The sequence below is a fragment of the Homo sapiens genome, chromosome 1 (assembly GCF_000001405.40).
Source record: "Homo sapiens chromosome 1, GRCh38.p14 Primary Assembly".
Taxonomy (NCBI): Eukaryota; Metazoa; Chordata; class Mammalia; order Primates; family Hominidae; genus Homo; species Homo sapiens.
Genome location: NC_000001.11, coordinates 226,654,822 through 226,675,912, shown reverse-complemented (window position 1 = coordinate 226,675,912; position 21,091 = coordinate 226,654,822). Strand labels below are relative to the sequence as shown.

Below are 21,091 nucleotides of genomic sequence, written 5' to 3'. Positions count from 1 at the left end.
GTGTGGGCAGAATTACAAGTAAGGTGGGTTGAGGAAGTGCACAGGTGGAAGTGTAGCCGAGAGGATGCGTTTGAGGAGCAAGAGGCTGGGACTCAAGAAGGCTTTATGCAGACTCGAATCTTACATTGATAACAAGCATTTGCGTAGCACATACGAGTTTCATCCTATGAAGGATTCCATAGGATTCTCACAGCAGCCCAAGGATGTGAGCAGAGCAGTAAACAATATCCCTGTTTTATAGAGGAAGTAGAAATCGAGAAGCAGGAAGGTTGGGTAATTTGCCCAAAGTTCCACCACTAGTAAATCGCAGAACTGGGACTAAAGCCCAGGTCTTCTGACCCTCACTGGGCCCAGCGTTCTTTCCAATATGTCATCCTGCCATTTTCCCCTTCCTTCCTCCTCCCCACAGCTCCTTGCAAGTTCAGCCTGCTGGAGGTAAGGGAAGTGATCATGAGAGTTTTTCCAGTGCTGAGACGTTCTGGAAAAAACATGGACCTGTATCTGTGTCCTGATCTGTGCTTCGTGATTGGACTGTCTTGACACTCGTCTCAGGACTCTGGGGAGTGCTTGTGCAAGTGTTTCCCAGTGTGGCCGGCTTCTTGAACGCTGCTAATGGAAAGTTGTAAGAGTTCTATTTTCCTGTTTCAAGCGAGCGTTTCCCCCTTGGGGTTATAGCAACCACTTCCTCCTCAGCACCCGGTGGGTCGTGGTAAACACCAGTTACAGCAGAGTATCCCCTTCTGACAACCTCATTGGTTCCTTTTTTTTTTTTTTTTTTTTTTTTTGCCTGTAAGCACATACACACAGAGTTCTGAAGGCTAGGTCTCCTTTCCTTCTGGTTTAGAGTTTTCAGAGTACCCTGCTGTGGCCTTGGAAACAGAAAACCCACACAGAGGTCAAACGCAGTTCTCGTGGAGTCACCTTGTCATCCTGCTTTGTTTTGGAAGGAACTGGGTCGGAGGCAGCACAGTAGGACTACAGCATCTTTAACCCTTGGTAGGATGGCTGGATCCGCTGAACGCTTGTGGGTAAACAGGAAGCTCACAGCCTCAGTGGATCATTAAGGGTGATACAGAATAGACACGAAAATCTTAAGTGGGATGGGAGCAGAGCAGGACTTGGTGGGTAGATAGTGAGGAAAAGGAGGCAAATAGGGATGGTGAAGAAATCGAAAGGGAATGGGGGATACAAGGAAAGGGTCAGGAAAGGGTGAGTAAAAGGTTTAAAGAGAGGTGCTAATTTTAGATACTTAAAAGTATTTTAAGTATCTAAAACTTGTGGCTGGGTGTGGTGGCTCACTCCTTTAATCCCAGCACTTTGGGAGGCCAAGGCGGGCAGATCACCTGAGGTCAGAAGTTCGAGACCAGCCTGGCCAACATAGTGAAACCCCGTCTCTAACTAAAAATACAAAAATTAGGCCAGGCACAGTGGCTCACGCCTGTAATTCCAGCACTATGGGAGGCTGAGGTGGGTGGATCACGAGGTCAGGAGTTCAAAACTAGCCTGGCCAAGATGGTGAAACCCCATCTCTACTAAAACTACAAAAATCAGCCAAGTGTGGTGGCAGGTGCCTGTAATCCCAGCTACTCGGAGGCTGAGGCAGGAGATTGGTTTGAACCTGGGAGTTGGAGGTTGCAGTGAGCCGAGATGGTGCCACTGCCCTCCAGCCTGGGCAACAGTGAGACTCTGTCTCAAAAAAAAATGTGTATATATAAATACTTAAAAAATATTTGTAATTGCTGGTTTGGGGTTACTAGAATCTCTTCTGAATCTGTCTCAGTTTTTCTTACAGCTTTTAAAATCCATGGAACTCTATCACCAGGAGATGATTGTGGTATGGAGCTGATCACCCCGGAGTTAGTGGGGTGGCAACTGAGATCGGGGGGAAATGGAGCAGTTTGAGGATATATGGGCCGTGAAAACCTCCCAGCTCTGCCCCCAGCCATGCCATGAAAGTCATGGGGAAGAAAGGCCCCCATTTGTGTGTTTGTGTTATTAAATAGAACAGTAACAGAGCAGGTCTCTGAGCCTGCCTGGCAGAAATCTTTCTGTAGCAGGAGTGTCCTGCAACTCTCTGGTGGATTTGCAAAACAGTACAGATAGAAAAACTTAAATGGGAAACAAGCTTGTCTTGTCCTACTTTGTGGAGATAGATAATAAAGCCGAAAGGCCAAGAAGTGTAAATATATAGCATATATCTAATGTATATGGTATATGTACATATCAATCTATAGCTATGCAATATCTACACTATTTATCTATGTTTATACGATGACTCTAGGCTTCAGAAGACCTGTCAAAGATTTCCATACATCTAGAGAATTTAGAAGGATCCCTTTATAGGTGAGAGTTGAGACTTTTTGGCTGCAGGTTGGGATTTGGTGGACTAGTTCCTGGTACCACCACCTAGTTGCCGTGATTATCTTTAGACTAACCAAGGCCCTTGTGTTAGCCTTCCGTAAATCATCCCCACCCCTAAGCAAGACAGCACCTATACCTTCACAGTTTCTCCAGTTCATCCCTGTTTTATTTTATTTATTGTTTTTTGAGACAGGGTCATGCTCTGTCACCCAGGCTGGAGTGCAGTGGCACGAACATGGCAGCCTCTACCCCTGTGTTCAAGCAATCCTCCTGCCTCAGCCTCCCGAGTAGCTGGGACCACAGGTGCGCGCCACCACACCTGGCTAATTTTTGTGTTTTTTATAGAGACAAGGGGTCTCACCATGTTGCCCAGGCTGGTCTTGAACTCCTGGCCTCAAGCAGTCCTCCTGCCTCAGCCTCCCAAAGTGTTGGGATTACAGGCATGAGCTACTGCATCCGGCCCATCCCTGTTTAAATGGGAATATCCAGAAGATTGTCCTTGTCATACACTCGGTGCATTTTAGAGTGTCTTCACCACTTGTCAGAAACAGGATTCTGGTTGGGAAGGGCCATCATTCACAGTGTGGCAGGTTTTTGCTTTGTTAATTACTGGAATTGGGGTACAGAAGCCAAATGCAGGTTCTCCACCTGGGACCTTCTTCCTGTTTGTCTGCCCACTTCACACCTGTCTTAGCAGCTGCAGCCTGAAATAGTGAGATGGCTACATTGCCTGATCAAATCTGGGATTTATGTAGTGATAACACCTCCCAGGAGATAGATTTCTTCGCCCTACCCCAGTGCTTCCCACACATGCCCATGGACCAGCTCTTTATCTCTGGCATGAAGATTCCTCCCACTTCCCTGTTGCTGAGATCCTTAGGCCTTTAGAGGGCAATTCTTTCAGCAGGGATTGCAGCTCCAGGTTAGAGTGGGAGTGAGAAGAAGCCATATGCCTCACACCGAAAGACAGCCGTGGTCTTGTCGACCTAATATCTGAGCCAAGGTGGAGGACAGCTGCCCAGGACACACTTCCAAGTTGCCTTGGGGAGTGCTCTGTTTGGCCTTTGTTACAAGCAGGTTTTCAAAGGCAAAAGGAACAAGGAAGTGGGCTGATACAAAGTTGTTTGACAGGAATCCTCCCTGGTTTACAGAGATAACATTGGATAGTGATTGCTCTACACTGTTGAACTATGGAGTACGAGTGATGGTGTCAAGCATATGTCATTTTATGGCTACTTAGCATCAGTTAGTCTTGAGCCCACATAGCAAGTGGCTTCAAGAGGTGATTATTTAGCTCAGGCGGGGAGTGAGACGTGATCGCTGTCACACGCTGTCACATTTCGGTGCCTCTCTGGGTTTGATAATTAAAGGGGGCTTGGATTCTCAGATAAAAAATTTTTATTTCTCAGTCTAAAATGGAGAGTTTTAAAAAAATCCATCTTCCTCTCTCACTTGGACAATTACAGCAGCTTCAAAATGGATCTTTCTTGTTTTCACCCTTTCTCGCCTGCTTTCTGTTCCCCAGGTGTACACACAGAAGCAGCGTGAGCCTTTTAGAACATAAGCCAGACTATGACACTCCTCACTCAAAACCCTCCAGCAGCTTCCTATCTCACTGACATAAAATCCGAAGTCCTAAGAACAGCCTAAAAAACTCTGCAAGAACTGACCTCATATGTGATATATTCTCCTCTTTGTTTACTCTGTTCCAGCCACTTTGCTGTTCCTGCTGGCCTTTGAAGCTGCCCACACACCTGTCTCAAAGCCTGTGCACTTGACCGCTCCCTCTGTCTGCAGTGCCATACCCTCTGCCTGTGTATGGCTCAGCCCCTCACTTCCTGCAGAAAGACCATGGCCAACTAAGCCAGCACACCCCTCTCCCCGCCTCCCTGGGGTTCTCCCTTTTCCCCTACCTGGCTTTATTTATCTTCAGGATGCTCATAGCTGCCTGATGCAATATGTCTTTATTTGTTTATCATCTGCCTGTCCCCACTTAGAATGTAAGCTGCTTTAAGGATAGGGACTTCGTTGTGTTCACTGCTAAATCACCTGCGGCTAGAACAGTGGCACATCTGTAAATATTTGTCCAACAGTGAATGCATGTGTGCATGCATGCGTGAATCCATTAGCAACAGCATTTATTGGGTTCTTTTACTTGGCATCACATTTGTAGCAAGGAGTACAAAGATGGATTCCACGGTCCCTGCCCTCAGGGGCTCACTCCTTTGATCTGTTCTTTGTGGAAGGGTTTCCCACATCAGTCTCTTTTCTGATCCTGTTCTTACCCATGTTGTTTGAATATTGGGAAGGCGCCTCCACCCTAGGAGTCTAGCTGCTGTCTGTCATCCGAATGGTCCTCCACTAATGTTCCTGGGCTTCTAGAGATCCTTGGGGTCTTCACGGAGCAGTCAACCCATTCAGGGAACAGTTTTCAGTCCTGAGCTCACAGAACCTACAGGAAGAAAGCCCTATTTCTCCCTTAGCTGAAGGGACATTTTGGAGAGTGCTGTGTTCTCAGATCAAATATAGGAAGGAGCACTGAAGGTGTAAGATATGGTAGCAGTTTCTTTATGTTACTTGTTTATTTGGTGTTCTGTATATTTTTTACATTGTAAAAGCAAACTAACCAGGCTACAGAAATTTCGAAAATAAAAAGAATAGGTATCATCATAACCCTACGATCATAATGATGAAACAGCTTGATTCTATGCATTATTAATTAATTGGTTAATTTGTATTCTACCTTATTCAAAAGATTTGTGGATACTTACAAATATGCATGTAGTGCAATAGAATATAATAACTGAGAAATGAGAGCAAAGGGTTAAATCGTTGATCAAAGCCAGTATAAAGTTAATGTGCAGAAATGCGTATTAGTACAACTACTCTTATAAATTGGTATATTTCTTCTTAGCCTAAGTCTGTATATTTTCCGTAGCTAATTCTGCTCCCTGCCCCTTAATCTTATAGCAACATTTTCCACGTTTCTTTCTTAACCCTGATAGTTAAGGACTGAACGATCCATCCCAAGGATGTGCCTCTAATTTGTTTAATCATCCTCTGTTGTTGGAAGTTGGGCTATTTTCACTACTATTGTTATTAGAAACAATGGCATAATTAACATCTTGGTGCATGTAACTTTTTCCGTTTTTTGGAGTATTTCCTTAAGTAGATTTCCAGAGGTAAAATAAATAACTGAAAGGTTGAAACATTTTTATGGCCCTTGCAGAATATTCCTGGGCTGCTTTCCCAAAAGGTCATGTGTCTTGGGGATGCCTCCCAGCAGTGGGTTGGCATGTATCACACCTTACTCTCCTCCTCACCAACACTAGGATTCACTATTGAAATTTTTTTTTTTTTTTTTTTTTTTTTTTTTGCGGCGGAGCTTGGTGGCTCACGCCTGTAATCCCAGCATTTTGGGAGGGCGAGGCAGGCGGATCACTTGAGGTCAGGGGTTCGAGACCAGCTGAGGCAAGTAGTGAAACCCCATCTCTACTAAAAATACAAAAATTAGCCAGGCATGGTGGCGTGCATCTTCTAGTCCAGGCTACTCAGGAGGTTGAGGCAGGAGAATTGCTTGACCCCTGGAGGCGGAGGTTGCAGTGAGCTGGGATTGTGCAGCTGCACTCCAGCCTGGGCGACAGTTCGAGACAACATCTCAGAAAAACAAAAACAAAAAAAAAACAAACCAAAAAAACATTTTTTTTGTTGCTAATAGGCAAACATATATTATTATTTCATTATATGTATGTTGAATTATATGTATGTTGCCAGGTTATCTACTGGCACCTGAGATTGTTTTTACCCATTTGTTTGAGTTCTTTGTATATAAAACTTAACCCTTCAAGCATACTTTATTTTGTAAAATATTTTCTGCAGTTTATTTGACTTCTGCTTTGGTTTGCAGGTGTCTTTGCTTTTGATACTTTGAGTTTTCACGTTTTGGATAGTCATAGTTCTTGGTAATTTTCTCTGTTATTTACCTAGAGACAGTAGTCCAAGTTCATTAGCCTGGCAGTTGAGGCCTGTGGTGATGTTGGCTTTGTTATTCCAGAAGACTCACCTTCTGTTCTCTTAGGACCTTCTTGTTGGGAAGCTGAATCAGTGGTGCATCTAGCATATTTTACACCAGGAGTACATTTTTTTTTTTTTTTGAGACAGAGTTTCGCTCTTGTTGCCCAGGCTAGAATTCAATGGCGCGATCTCCGCTCACTGCAACCTCCGCCTCCTGGGTTCAAGCGATTCTCCAGCCTCAGCCCAGGCGCCCGCCACCACGCCCGGCTAATTTTTGTATTTTTACTAGAGACGGAGTTTCACCATGTTGGCCAGGCTGGTCTCGAACTCCTGACCTCAGGTGATCCACCCGCCTCGGCCTCCCAAAGTGTTGGGATTACAGGCGTGAGCCACCATGCCCAGCTCAGGAGTAGATTTTTTAAAATACTCCCCTCTTCTATAGTAACAAAATTATTTCAATAATTAAGAAATAAATAATAATGATGATGATAATGGCCAGAAAATAATTTCAGACAGTTAAACATTTCTATTATTGAATTTTGTGTATATGATGCCAGCAATAAAAAAAGGGGGGCAGGGAGTAATGAATTTAATGACGCTAATGCTTATTTTGAAAAAGGGGAAAGGTTACACTTTCATAGTGGTCTGTAGCAGTAATGAATAAAAACTATAGTTTCTGGTTTTGAGTCTTCTGTAAATTGATCAGACTTCGTAAATACTGATCTTTCCCTATTCATCATGATCAATAGACAAAGCCGCATTTGTTGGTCTATCTTCCCTCAAAGCTGGTCGCAGAGCACTTTTTATTCCTGTTAATTTTGAAAAATTTCTTTTGGTTGAAACAGCAGATATACAAATAGGATAAATCTTAAACATAAAATTTGGCAGAAATTCACAACAATCCCATTTCACAGTAAATTCCAGACATTGCAACAAAGTCCTGTTCTTCAGTTCTTCAGGATTGATTAACATCTCATTGTTGAAAAGTCAGAAACATAAATAGAAACTCCCAAGTGGTCTGGTAGAATGAGAGGATGGAATAGCCCAGGTTCTATTTCTTTGTCTTTACAATGACTGTGCTTCCAGCCTTTATTTTTGGTCTGGTCTTCAAGCTTAGGAACACATCGTACCACAGGACTCGGGGGACGAGCCACCCCAAAGTGAGTGCCACTGATACCGAATCCTGTGAACTTGCTCTTGAAACATGGGTAGCTGAGTCCACGGGTGTCAGGGGCTGGCTTTGCAACTATTAATATGAGTTATTTGAATTAACTTCCATAGAGAATGTAATGTTTATGAAAAGGTAATTAGTCTGTGTGAATTTGAAGCTTACATATATTATTAAAAGTCAAGAATAATGCAGCAATTGTTCAGAATTAGACAAAAGGTTGTTGGGGGAGGTGTTGGATTATGTTTAAATCAGAATCGCCAGCTCATGGTCATGGTAAAAAGCCCATCAGTTTCAGTATTGTTTTAAATTCCTTACAGACAATTTTCCCTCTTTTTGCCTCCCTCTGGGGCAAACTGCTCCGTGCCAGGCCCTTAGTGCTGAGCTGAGCCAAGCTGTTGGCTGTGCTGTTGGCTGTGCTGTTGGCTGTGCTGTTGGTGCTTTTTTGCTTCTAGGCTTTTGCTTATGCTTTTCTCAATCCTGAAATACCAACCTCCACTTCGCACGCGCGCGCGCACACACACACACACACACACACACACATTTTCCTCATCTTTTTAAGACTTAGCTTAAATGTCACCTTTTCCATGAAGCTTCCTTAATTTTTAATTTTTTCCCTTTTTCTCCCAAAGTAATAGCTTCCTCTTCTGAATTCCTGTAGCCCTATCCCAGATCTGCAGGAGAAAGCACTCACAGCTGTGCCCAGTGCATCCAGGGACAGCACTGATGTCAGAAAATGTGGGTGGTCTGATTGGACAAAGGAGTCCAGGAGCCAGCCCAGGTTACCTGCCTGGGTCCTGGTTCCAGAGCTCCTCTTGTTTGCCTCTCTCCCTGATGGGCTGGCCCTGGTTGTGGGACCTCACTGAGTCTGGATGCTGCTGCCTCTGGTTCTTGGCCTCTGGGTGTGAGGCAACCCTTACTTAACTTACCTTTCTGCTTCAGAAACCCCGCCCTTAAGCCAGACCCCACAGTAAGGGCTAGGCATTCTGAGCACTCTTCCGCTTTCTCAACCAGACTCTTGGGTCTTGGCGGGGTTCCCACATGTTTATGTTAGCCTATATTTATCGATTCCCAACTCTGGGAAAGCAGTGTGCCAGGTAGGGCCTAGGGGTTCAGCAATGAACTGGCCATTTCCAGTCCTCAAGGAATGCTCACTCTAGTGGGGGTAACACTCATGTCATCACCAGATCACGTGAATGTCCTCTCAGCAGAGAAGCAGATGCGTGTGTGAGGTATAGGGGAGAAGCGATTAGCCTTTTTGAGTGCATTGGGCAAAAAGTGCAAAGAGGAGGTGATAATTGCGCATGGTAAAGAATGAAGAAGAGTTCTCTCGGTAGGTTAGGGGAAGGGTCTTCCAGCCAGAGGGGCCAGCACAAAAGGTTCAGGAGCATGAAGCAGTGTGGTGTGTGTTGGCAAACACAACCAGATCAGTTTTGCAACAGCCCAGGGAGTGAAGGGACGCATTGGTGGGGAGAGGCGAGAGCCCTTGAGAGTCCATGTGTGGTCTGTGGTCTTTGTCCTGCAGGCTTTAGGGAAGCCACAGAAGGTTTAAAGCAGGGGAGGGACATGATGAAATTGGCATGATCAGATTGATGTTTTAGAAAGATCTGCAAGGCTGATGAGTGGAGAGTGGGTTGCAGGAAGGCACACCCAAGGCAGGACAGGCTGTTGTGATCCTGGAGAGATAGGAAGAGCAAGGGGTGCTAGCCGTAGGGAGAGTTGTCAGGGTGGTAAATTAGGAACTTTAGTGATTGACTGGCTGTTTTGGCAGCCCTGTTCCAGAATCGCCTTAGCTGTCCCTGAGGGTAGATCTTAGGGTCTCCCATGGAATTTGTGATCCTCATATGTTCAGCATGGTCCCATTAGATCTGTGGGGTCAGTGTGCTGGGGCATGACGCTGCACATGCTCTATCTTCCCAGAGCCCCTGGAGCCCCTGGACACCAGGGAGCCATGTCCGTCACATATGATGCCTTGGTAAGGAGCTGGTAAGAAGCAAGATGACCTCTTGCTCCTGAGAGCAGCAAGCACTTACAGCTTCTCCCTCTGAGCGCCTCTGGCTTGATGGGAGCTGGCAGACCTTGCTGAGTCTTGCCCTGATTGGGTGGCCTGAGTCATTGCTGCCACGACAGGCACCAGATCCCACCGTGCCATGTGCTCCCTTCTGGTATCACAGCTGCTCGCTCTCCACATGTGGCCTTAAGGAGGGCTTTGGGGCAGATATAGGACTGATGCCTTTATCATTTAAACCTCTCTTTATCTTCTGAGAAGCCCATTGGTAGCCCTCTGCGGTCATGTCTGTCATTTCTTTCATTTTTAGGCAGGCTGGTGGGGAAGACCGCAGATGGCCAGGAGCTTTTGGGTCACCCCTCAAAATGCAGTTGGCCGCTACACTGTGAAATCCCCAGAGGCCACAGTGCCCTGTGATTTACTCCTAGCATTTTGAGTGTTGAGTTTCATTGCCAGGATGCTAGGCTTCCTCCTGGCCCCACCACAGGTGCTTCCGTGAGTGTCTCCTCGCCTCACCTGGGCTGGGCCGTGGCTGCAAGTCCCAAACGCCAACCATCCCGGGTTCTAAATTGTGTTGTAACTAATTAGAGGCAGAGGTTGGTCAGAGTCAGGTACTGCTCAGCCACGACCACAGTGATGTTCCACTTCTCTGGGTGGGGAGGTGGTACCGCAGGCAGGGCCAGGTTGGTGGGGCTGGGTGGTTTAGAAATCCTGGCTTCCATCTCAGCCCCCGCCGGTGACCACCGAGGTAGCTTTTGTGTGATCTGTCGTTTCCTCCGCTACTCATCTCATCAGAGAGGCCCGTTTTGTCTTGGTGTTCTATTTCATCTTTCAGACCCGAAGGGCCACATCTTACTTGCATGGTGTGTGTTCAGGTTTTCAAGCATGTCCCGTGTTTTCCTACCTAGTCCTCCCTACAGTTTTGGGGATGAGGCCTTGCTGTGCATTTTCATTTCTGTTTGCAGAGGGAGAAACAGCAGCTCAGCAAAGTAGGTGACTTGCCCGCGTTGACATGGCCAGTGAGTAGACTACAGTGGAGGTCTTTGGCTTTCCTCAGCACTTTCCCCTTTGTCTCTAAATCCAGCGGCTCAAACTCAAATGCCACCAGGGGCCGGGCAGGTGACCTGTGTCAGCGGGACCCAGTGACAGGGGAAGAGAAGGTCCCATCTTAAGTGGCTGCTGCTCAGCCCCAGGCAGGGGCCGCTGTCCGGGATTACAGGCCCAGGATTTCAAAGAGAAGTTGGGAATTCGGATTTTTGTGTGGAATCTGATTTTTAAATGTTAGCAACTAATTTAGAAAAAAAATGTAGCCAAACAAGGTGAGTCTGCTGGCCTCTGCCCTATATCACCTGGCTGCTAGTCACTCACCCACGGCCTTTCCTCCTGACTCAGGTTTACAGGGAGCCTCTGCTGGCTGGCTATCCTGTTAAGGGAAAGGGGGAAAGGAAAGGGAAGAGGAAACAGTTCTAGGAGCTTCTGGTCCATTTGCGTCGTGCTGGCCACACACTGTGTAAATAGCTCAGCTGCCCACATTCCCAAGGCAAATACTTTCCATGCGCCTCTTTGGCCACCTTGAATCCCGGGGCTCTTTGGCAGTTTATCGGCTCGCTTCCTTTTCCGAAGATTCAAATGACGACTGCCTGAAAATATTTTCTTCAGCTGGGTTTTTCCTTGGTGACTTCACTCCGAGACAGATGTGCCCTAATAATAGCATTGAAAGTTAAGGGGAATAAGTCAGCCAGCTGGTTCTGTTCCCTAGAAATGATGTTAACAGTTCCTAAATGTGAGCTCTCCCCAGAGACCTTGGAGGGGCTGAGCCTGCAAGAGGCCGTGGTCATTGTGAGAGTCTGGAGTCCTTCTCCCTGGGACAGAGTCCCCAAGGCTCTCCCCTCGTCCCACCACGATACGTGTACTGCCCGGCACACAGCAGATGGACATTGCAAAGGAGGTTTGCTCTCTTTGGAGATGGTCAGGGGCTCTCGTTCAGCTCCTGCCTCCTGAGCCTAGAGGCCCCAAGCTTAGTGAGACCTAAATCCTGACTGCACAAAGCAGACCATTCCTCCAAGTGCCTCTCTCATGCCTGTGTTCAGGCTCACTGACTGGAAGGACTCCCAGAAGTCATTTAAGCCCGTTCTTCAGCCTCTATCATTCCAGAATACATTTTTCAGATAACCTGCTTGCATTCCCTCAATAATGTTTCATTTCCTCTAACTCAGTAGGAAGGAGATGAAACAAGTCTAAGAGAACCAGGAGCCTTCTGTAAGCTGTGCAGGCAAGAGAGTGACTTTTGTGGGGGCCAAGCTTTAAGATCTCTTAGATAGAAAACTGGACCAGCCTCTACGGATGTCGATGCTCTGTTTCTTGGTTTTGCTTCTCTGTAAATCTGAGGGAGAAGACAGGAAGGACCTGGGGTGCAGCCCTTCTTTGCCTGTCTCATAGGAGATCCTCACCTCACTTTGTGAAAACCCATGCTGTCTGTAATGATCCCAAAAGCTGCTGCAAAATACCTCAATATAAAAGACATGTTAACCTGGACGTGGTGGCTCACGCCTGTAATCCCAGCACTTTGAGAGGCCGTGGGGGGTGGATCACTTCTTTGGTCACCTGAAGTCCAGGACTTCAAGACCAGCCTGGGCAACACGGCAAAACCCCATCTCTACCAAAAAATACAAAAATTATTCAGGCATGGTGGTATATGCATATAGTCCCAGCTACTAGGGAGGCTGAGGCAGGAGGATTGCTGGGTTGCTTGAGCCCAGAAAGTTAAGGCTGTAGGTGAGCCGTGATTGCGCCACTGACTCCACTCCAGCCTGGGTGACAGAACAAGACCCTGTCTCATAAAAAAAAAAGAAAAGAAAGAAATGTTGAATCATTGTAGCCTAAAGCAAGAAGTGAAGGAAACAGTTTCAGGGTGTCCCTGCTCCCGGTGGGCGGGAGAACCTGGCTGCAGTAGGGCGTGCAGGCTTCCAGGGTAGGAGTTTGGGCAAGACCCCAAGGTCTGCCCCGATTGGGACACAAACCTAGGAGCGCACCTTTGCCTCTGTTTGCTGCTCTGGTAATAGGAGGCGAGACTGGTGCCTGCCTTTCTGGGGCCCTGGGAGGCTCCTGTCACGTGGGGAAAGTGCTAAGTAAGCACCCACTGCCACTAGCAGGGCCTGGTTGACAGAGATGCACGGGGAAGGGCGATGAGTCAATCTGTTTATGAAAATCACACATATCGTCACACATACCGTCAAGATGACCCGGGGGACAGCTGAGCCCTGAGAGCTGATGAGTCTTGCTCATACTTGGGGGTTCTCTGGTGTCCCTTTTTGGCAACCCGTTTCCTGTGCTTCCAGAGGTCTGCACGTGAACAGATGCATGACTGCTGAACCGAGACACAGGGTCTCTACCCTGAACAGCTCTGGTCAGGAGAGGGAAGCTGGGTGACTCATAGCAGAATTCAGAGCTGCGCATTGGCCACTGCTGGGGCAGGGCTGCAGATGCTTCTTTGGAAAGCAGCTTGGGGTTTCTGGTTCTCTCTGCGAGTCTGCATTCTCACTTGCTGAGTGCCATTTAGCCACAGGCACATCAGCATAATCTGTCAGAAATATGAATTGCACCAGTGTAGCTTGATAACTGCTTATAAGCCGTCATGTGGTATTCAAGTCCTCCCTCAAAAGTTTCCTTGTTGGAAATTCCTTAAGTGGGAGTTCCCAAAACTCTGGCTTTGGATTTAGACCAGGATGACCCCCTTAACCAAATCTCTTACAAGGTCTTTTTTGCATTCCCAGAAACTAATTAAAAGGCAGTGTTTTGTCCATTAATGTTCTTGGCCTAGAGAGGTAAACTTTTAGCAATTGGAGGTTGAGGAAATCTTGTCCCTTCTACTATATCCAGTAGTATCCTAAGGTTTTAAAATGTATAACCTGAAGTTTTTTCAATCTCAGGAATCTCTGAAAAAGAACCAGGGGTTACTAAAGAGCTGTTCACACAGAAGTAAGTGTGTTTCCTTTAGCAGGGCTGTGCCTGGGAGAGCTTTGGGGAGAGAAGATGGCATTTTAGATTCTTGAACTTTCTGCAGAAAACTTCGTTTTAGATTCCTGGCTTTGTAAATGTCATCCTCCAGCATGGGATGAAGAAGTCTGTTTCCACTTGTGGCCACCTGGCAGAGCTGCCTGTGTCCCTGTTGCTCAGCTCAGTCTCCCGGGGAACAGGCAGAGTTACTTATTTCAGATCCCAGGTCCCTGGGGGAGGTTTGGGTGGGGGGATTTTCAGGAAACACGAGAGCCTCTAGTGGCTCTCCTGCCAGGCTGCCTCATCGTCCGTGCACTCCCTCTCACACCCGACTAGAAAGTAGCTCCTGGGCATTTTGGAGTTCCAGAAAGACTCTGTTTCTGTCAAGGAATAGGACTTTTCATTGGGGATCCACTTCCTCCTGGCTGTGGCCTACACCTTCTGCCCTTTCCTTGTGGAAAGGTGGGATTCAAGGCTGGGATTAGGGATAGAAGAGGAGGTGGTCAGACCCTACTGCTAACATCTGCTGGGCTCATACAGAGCTGTCTCCCATACAGTTCATCCGATCCATAGGCTCTTGACCTTGAGGGGGTCAGACCAGACAGTATACGTGAGAGGTATGCAAAATGTATCTGCCTCTGTTGAGTGCTCTTGTGTATGTACCAGGCACTGCACACAGAGAATTTAATTTAACCCTGAAAACAATACTTTAGGATACATGGTATTTCCATTTTATAGATGAGGAAACTGAAGCTCAGAGAGGTTTGGTAACTTGCCTAGTGCCACCAGCCAGGAGTGGCAGGATCTAAATCTCAGTTTATCTGGCTATAATGTTACCTGTTCCACATGACAGGAAATGAGGCAGCCCAGCAGAGTGATGAAGAGCTTGGATCCGCAGCCAGCCTGCCTGACTACACATGTACAGAACCTTGGGCAAGTTGTCTCATGACTCTGTGCCTCAGTGTTCCCATCTGTGAAGTGGGACAGTGACAGCACCTCTGTGATGGGTTGAGAGACTCTTATCACACACACATAGCAAATACTCAGCCCTGTGTCTGGCTCTGGTAAGCACACGAGCTATTTCTTGAACTGGCACTAGAACAGCTCGCATGCTATGGGCTGCGCTCCTGCCCTGCCTTACCTCTCTGTGGGCTATAAAGGAAGGATTAAGCAACTCTAGCTCCCCAGACCAGGAAGCTGTTCCCAAGAAGGTGTGTTGGGGGTGGAGATGGGGCTGAGTCCCCTGGCTGGCGCCTCTGAGAGAGCGGCCCAAGATGGACTCTGCGGGTGCTCGGAGGTTCCAGAACTTCAGTGCCAATTGTCTGCCGATCAGTGAAGGCCTTTGGTAAATTTCCACCCTCTGTAACTTGGCCTTGTTGTTTTGCATTTACCAAAGTAAAAATAAAATCTCTGGGGAGGAGTGGATGAGCGCAGGGCGGGAGAGGATCTGCTGCGTGTTGCAGGGGTGGCCCTTAACCAGCTGGGCAGAGCCCAGGCGCCCTTTCCCAGAGGAAAGGCTGAGCCCTTCTGTCCTCTGGGCTTTATCCATTAGGAAGTCAGCCTCGAAAGGCTGCCCATCCGCCTCGTGCTCTTCCCCAGCCCCTTTGGCCACTCCCTGTTTCCTCCTATTGTTGGTCCCCTCCTAGCCTCCGGGCCCAGCAGCCTTTGAGGCCTGGAGAGGCCCCTGGTGTGAGCTCTGCGAGGCCCCTGGTGTGAGCTCTGCGAGGCCTCTGTTCAGCACAGCATTTCCTGTGCCTTCTTCCTCTCTCGCCTCTCTCCTCTAGCCCTTCATTATTTTTAGTTCTTAAGAGGATGGAATCCAGGAGAGAGGAGGAGGGAAGAGCCAAGTTAATGACCTTCTCACCAGAGATGGAGCATTTGCTGGGCCCTGCCCAATAGGGAGGGTTAGGAACATTTCCATTTTGGGTGAAGGACACCTCGATTCTTGAGTAACCAAAAAAAGACTCTGGTTTAGCAAGATTGCAGGCCCCTTTGATGCCAGCTCCTATAGAGTGTGGATGAGGGAAGGAGTGCAGACCTGAAAGAGTCGCTAAGGAAGAGCATTCTTTGCTGGTGTCTCCAGTGTCCCTGGCTCCTGCAGGATACTGGGGATGCCCACGAAGAGATGTCCCCTGCCTGCCAGCAAGGGCATCACAGATTGAGGGATGGGAGAGTGAGCAAACAGTGACTAACCTGAGTGAAAGGTTGCCCTCCAAACCCTTGAGTGAAAAAGACCCCTGGGGCCTGGGGCCAGCCAGGCTGCCAGCCGTGGGGTCCTGGAGAGAAACCCAAGCAGACCAAACAGGAAATTCCCACAAATATGCCCCCTCTTGTTACTTGGAGAAGTCTCTAGAAAAATCCAGGTGTGAGCAGGTGAACATAAAGCAGTGTGAGCCTTGGTGTAGGTGTGCTTTATCTTCCAGGCCTGGGCCCTTAGCATGTGCTGGGTCCGCAGGGTCCTCTTATCAGCCAGATGCCGGGAGTATTGGATTCCTGCCGGCTGTGCAGCCTGGGGGACATAGAGAAGGTTAGGACAGATCCCCAGTTCCCCAGGAGCCTTCCTGCCACTGGGAGACATGGTATGGCACACAAGAATCACGAAGCACCCCAGCTTCCTTTCCCTTCCCTGCCCCACCTGCAGGTCTGCTGTGCAGGTGCCCTGCTGGGAAGCTCTCCCTCCTCCCTTCTGCGTATCCACATCCTGCATCTCCCTCCAGCTTCAGGGAGGATTCCAGGAGTGGCGTGGGGCTAGAGTGGCCTGAGAGACTTCAGGGACAAGGTAGGGCCAGCTTGCAGATTCCAGGGGATCTGCTGGAAGGAGAGGTAGGATGTGGATACACAGAAGGGAGGAGGGAGAGCTTTCTGGGCAGAGCACCTGCACAGCAGACCTGGAGGTGGGGCAGGTATGGGATGGCTTGCCCTGACGGATTGGAGTGGGCACGCCAGAGAGTGAGTGTGGGGCCGTATCTGGGGGTGGCTCTGTATCCCGGAGGGACCCTGCTCCCTCTTATGGGTGGTCAGGGAGCCTTGGTGAGGCCCTGGGCTGCTCCTGGAGCCCTGTCCTTGCCGTCTGGGCCTTGGGCAACCTCCTTTGGCAGGGTTTAGGGCTTATGGTGGAAGAGGAAGAGTGGCCATGATGGAGGGCCCCTGGGTGCCAGTCTGGGTGCTGCCCTTGGCCTAGAAACTAGGCCTCTAGTTGCAACAGGAAGAAGGCAGCTAATCAGGAGACAGCTGGGCAGTCACTCAGGGTTTTCCTGGTTTTGGCCAGAATGTGCTGCTAGGGGTCGATTGACCATGGTGGCGTCCCTCAAAAAGAGTCAGCCAGGTTGGGAGCTCCAGCCTTCAGCCCGACCAGGTCTACGCACTGCAAACCAGGGACCCGGCAGCCCTCGCAGCCTGATTGGGTGTGGAGGGGACAGAGCGCTCACCTGGAGCTAGTTTAGCTAGCTAGTTCACTGAGCTGGTTCGTGTAGCCCCTGCAGGGGGTCCCGGTCTGCAGGGGCTGGTAAGGACCCATCATCCTCGTTCTCCTGCCCCAGGCCCAGCAGTTGCTTCTGAAGGAGGGACTTCACCAACCCGACAGCGCTCAGTAATCCCTACCCTACGCTCATGGGTTCCATAAAGGGCGGGGGAGAAGAACCTCGTGCCTGGTGAGCAGCGCTGTGGAGGATGTTCGGTGCCATCCAGCCTGCGGGAACATCACACGGCGGGTGGAGACGGGGGATGAAATAAAGCCTTACTCGGGTCTTTTCTGAAAGTGCTTTTGCATTTGGCATTTAGGGGGATTTTCTTGTTTGTTAAAGGGGGAAAGGCAGTTAGTCTTACATCCAGACTTTTATTTTTAGCTGGAGCTACCTGTCCTGCCAAGTCCTTGGGCTTAATTTTTCCGATCCTTGGTGTCTTGGTTTTGAAAGCCCTTCCCCTCCTTCCCTCCCAGCTCCTTTTTGGCAGGGGCAGGTTTCGCTTTTGGCCCCAGCCAGGTTTCTAACCAGGGCTACAGGAGGGAGCTATTGAGCCAGGGGCCCCTACCTGCCTGGGCTTGTACCCAGCTGCCGCCAACCCAGCTGGGCCCTGCCAGGGGGAATACAATGAACAAAGTTGGCCACCGCCTCCACTCTGCAGCCTAGGAGAAGCACCAGGCTTTTCCCCAGTGAAGGAAATAATGATCACTAGGGAAACCCTAACTGCTTTTTTAGAAAGACCAAATGAAGAAGGAAGGAAAAAAGGATTTTTTCCAAACATGGAAAACTCAATGACTCTCACTCAGACTTTTGCAAGAGCAAAACAAAGGCTTTGACACAGAACAAATTCTCCCCTGGCAGGGGCGTTCTTCATCCACTTTCGACGCTTTGTTAGATGTGCCTTCCCCGAGCGTGTGTCAGTAAGGACGTTCTGGGAACAGACTTGGAGGGAGGGGAGAGTAGGCCTTTGTTCAGGCCTCCCCCATCTGAAAGGTCACTCTTCTGACAAAGCCCTTGCTGTTTATGTGAGGCTATTTTATAAATAGGGGGGAAGCAGATAGCCCCAGGTCCGAGAGAGATGATGGGAGCCCAGTAATCCTGTTGGCTGAGACAAAATCCTTGGAATTAAGTGGCACAAACCTGGAAGCTGTGTGACCTTTTGCAAGTTACTAAACCCCTCTCAACATGTTTCATCATTTGCAAAATGGAGACAACAATATCAGTGTTGTGAGAGTTACCTGAGCTATTAGCTTATTAGTATCTAACACTATGTTAGACATGTAACGTGATCTCTTTGCACACACGCAGCAGAGTTCGGCTGGCAATACCGTTTTCGGAGTGTTAGAGGGTCCAGGGATCATTTCCCATTTCTGATATTTTAGAGATTTCCCCTCATCTCTTTTACCCAACAACAACAACAAAGGGAGACTCTTTCTTTACGATTATCTAAAGATAAAAGCCAAGTGATCAAACTATTTAAATAAAAAGAGAAGTGCTGGAGGAAAAAGTAGCAAATTGAGGGAACAAGTCAGGTGAAAAAGAGGCTAAGAAGAGAATGTAAACCCCCTCTAGAAAATGAAATTTGCCAAGCAATCTTATTATTCACCTTGAAAATATCTTTCTTTGGCAGTGCCTAGCAGAGTTCCACATACATGAAATAAGATGCTTTGGGAAATCATTCTTCTTTTTGCAACGTCAGTGACTTGAACCAGAAACTGATATTGACTCACTTGGGCTCTGACTCTTTCCAAGTTACACATCTGGGGGCCTAAGGAACTGCCCCATGAGTTCCCGGAGCTGCGATGGGCATGGGACGGGAAGCTTTGTAAGCAATTAATCACACAGTTAGCCTCATCTGATCACCACTGGCCACGATCAGGCCCTCTGAAAGTGCCTAGTTGGATGCTTGCCAATCTGCTATGCCTTGGAGGAAAAAATCATTTCAATTTAAGAAAATAGACACAGAAGCAAAAAACCAAAGTGAGCCTGGAAGGTTTGCCTGTCTGTGACAGTCTACAGAGCAGCTGTTTGTGCCTGTCACCTGCTCAGGCTCTCACGGTGACTGCATGGGGAGGGCAGGGTGTGTGCATTGATACCTGCCGTGCCCAGTGTACGCCGAGGTTTGCCCATGCTGCAGCTGGAAGGCTGCAGAACAAAGGTTCGTTCCAACCTCTACACTTGAATTGCATTCTGCGTCATCATCCTGCCTTCTAGAACAACATCCAACTCCGTGGGCTGCCTTTTAAAATCTTGATGGAGGGGGAGAGGAGTATGTATGTTGCTTCAGCCCTTAATTTGCAAGGTGGTGAAACCACTATGGGCCTGGCCAAATCAGCAAGAAGGGGGCTGGAGGAAGGGCAGCTGTCTTGGGGTACACTGGGACTGGAAGGAGCTGCCTTCCTGAAGTCCTCCTTGCTTCTCTGAAGTTGTCCCAGCACAGCTGTGGCTTCCGGGAGAGGAATGTCAGGGCCCTGATAAGGAAATGAAGTGGAGCCCGCACCTGCCCAGAATGTGAAATTTCTTCAGCAGCCTCTGACCGGGCTCCAGATGGGCAAGTGCAGCCCCTCCCACACCTGCTGAGTTTGATCTCCCTCCTCCTGGATGCTGTGAGGCTTGGCACCTGCCCAGCCAGGCACTCAGGAAACCTGCTGGGGGTCTCTGAGCGCCCACCAGGGTAAACCAAGGTCCCTTTCTTGTGTTAAAGAGAAGAACTGGGATGGAAGCGTGCCCAGGGCTCTTTGGAAGCACCCAGGAGGGGCAATGGAAGGCTTCCTGGGAAGAGGGTTTCTGGGTTGCATTTTAAAATACACACAGGAGTTAGCTAAGTCCTGAGCATCCTCAGTCATTCTTCTGCAAAGTCCCTAATAGCAGAAGCTGACACCCTTGCGGGCCTAAGGTGGCGTGGGGACAGGTGTGTGGAGCAAGAAGTTGCCTGCAGAACTCCACAGGCCTGAGAGAATATGAGCCCGGGTGCGCTGCAGATGGTGCCATGTGTGGATGGGAGTGGGGGTCACCAGGGCTGCCAGTGACCTGCAGTCCTCACGACATACAAGTGTCTGCCCCCAGCGTCACAACCCTTTCTTCTACCCACCCCAAATTGCACTGAGAAATATAACATTGGTTTGGAGGGGCGGGAATTGGCTGGAAAGAAGACAGGAAGCAGACCCCAGGGGGCATGTGGGCTGAGCTGAGGATCAGACAGTGCTGGCCCTGGGTGGCTTGGCCTCCTGCGGAGAAGGCTGGGCTGGGCAGGGCAAGTGGCCACTGACTGGCTCAGACAGCACTGCAGGGACAGGAAGCAAGGCCAGACTCTGAACAACATGCAGAAGGCTGAGGTCTGGTTGCATCCTCACCGCTCCTGCCAGGCCTTTCCAGGGGACTTCTCTGAGCCCCAAAAAGAGAGCCACAGGTGCCGGTGGCCTTGAGCCCTCCCCTGCCCTAGGATTGAGGAGCCTCTGGTCATTGGCTGTGAGCAGGCCACAGAGGCCTGCAGGCCTGGGGTCACCTGCTGTCTCCTAACGGGGGCCATTTCCTCCCCAGGAGGCAGGGCCCATTTCCTGGCTGAGCAGTCACAGGGCATGAGAAGGGCCCCGAGCTTGGTGAAGTTCTGCTTTCCCCATCATGACATTCTTACTGAATTTTGGACAAGGGACCCCTCATTTTCATTTTGCATGTTATGTAGATGATCCTGATGATAGCTAAAGCATTTTGTAAGTGGGGTGGCCAGAGGCCCACACATCCCCACAGCCTAGAGTAGGGTAAACCTGGGTCTCTCCTTCCCCTCCTTCCTCCCTCTTCTTCCTCCTGCCCTCCTCTTCCTCCTCCCCTCCTCCCCACCTCCTCTTCTTCCTTCTTCTCTCCTCTTCCCTGTCCTCTTCCTCCTCCTCTTTCCTCTTCGTACCCTCCTCCTGCTCTCCCTTCTCTCTCCTCTTCTTCCTCCCTCCTCCCTCCTCTTCCTCCTCCCCCTCTTCACTCTTCTCCTCTTCTTCCTCTTCCTCCTTCCTCCTCTTCCCCTGTCCCCAGCAGTCCTTTTTTGCCTGCCTTATGAACGACAAAGGCTAGACCTGGAGGTTATGCCCGTTT

The 21,091-nt window shown here is 49.1% G+C and overlaps 1 protein-coding gene and 2 long non-coding RNA genes across 3 annotated transcripts in view, besides 5 other annotated features; 2 read left to right on the top strand and 1 right to left on the bottom strand.

The window, feature by feature from the left end:
- Positions 1-21,091, top strand: part of ITPKB (inositol-trisphosphate 3-kinase B) — a 107,593-nt gene that overhangs the window by 63,370 nt on the left and 23,132 nt on the right. The gene's annotated exons all lie outside the window — the stretch shown is intronic.
- ITPKB-IT1 (ITPKB intronic transcript 1) lies at positions 845-19,833 on the top strand. The gene is made up of 2 exons (NR_103784.1): positions 845-996; positions 18,639-19,833. It is a non-coding gene; the product is annotated as an ITPKB intronic transcript 1 (long non-coding RNA).
- On the bottom strand, positions 7,140-13,151 carry LOC124904529 (uncharacterized). The gene is made up of 2 exons (XR_007066908.1): positions 12,782-13,151; positions 7,140-11,252 (listed from the first exon to the last, which is right to left on the bottom strand). It is a non-coding gene; the product is annotated as an uncharacterized LOC124904529 (long non-coding RNA).
- Positions 9,527-9,806: an enhancer, noted in NCBI's record as "active region_2662". NCBI's record gives its function as "activates an Ori minimal core promoter by ATAC-STARR-seq in GM12878 lymphoblastoid cells {active_cell/tissue: GM12878}" and the evidence as "EXISTENCE:reporter gene assay evidence [ECO:0000049][PMID:35858748]".
- Positions 12,424-12,513: an enhancer, noted in NCBI's record as "active region_2661". NCBI's record gives its function as "activates an Ori minimal core promoter by ATAC-STARR-seq in GM12878 lymphoblastoid cells {active_cell/tissue: GM12878}" and the evidence as "EXISTENCE:reporter gene assay evidence [ECO:0000049][PMID:35858748]".
- Positions 12,610-13,135: an enhancer, noted in NCBI's record as "H3K27ac-H3K4me1 hESC enhancer chr1:226850479-226851004 (GRCh37/hg19 assembly coordinates)". NCBI's record gives its function as "activates a minimal SCP1, AML or CMV promoter by ChIP-STARR-seq in naive H9 embryonic stem cells {active_cell/tissue: H9 hESC(naive)}" and the evidence as "EXISTENCE:reporter gene assay evidence [ECO:0000049][PMID:30033119]".
- Positions 12,824-12,963: an enhancer, noted in NCBI's record as "active region_2660". NCBI's record gives its function as "activates an Ori minimal core promoter by ATAC-STARR-seq in GM12878 lymphoblastoid cells {active_cell/tissue: GM12878}" and the evidence as "EXISTENCE:reporter gene assay evidence [ECO:0000049][PMID:35858748]".
- Positions 16,139-16,969: an enhancer, noted in NCBI's record as "H3K4me1 hESC enhancer chr1:226846645-226847475 (GRCh37/hg19 assembly coordinates)". NCBI's record gives its function as "activates a minimal SCP1, AML or CMV promoter by ChIP-STARR-seq in naive H9 embryonic stem cells {active_cell/tissue: H9 hESC(naive)}" and the evidence as "EXISTENCE:reporter gene assay evidence [ECO:0000049][PMID:30033119]".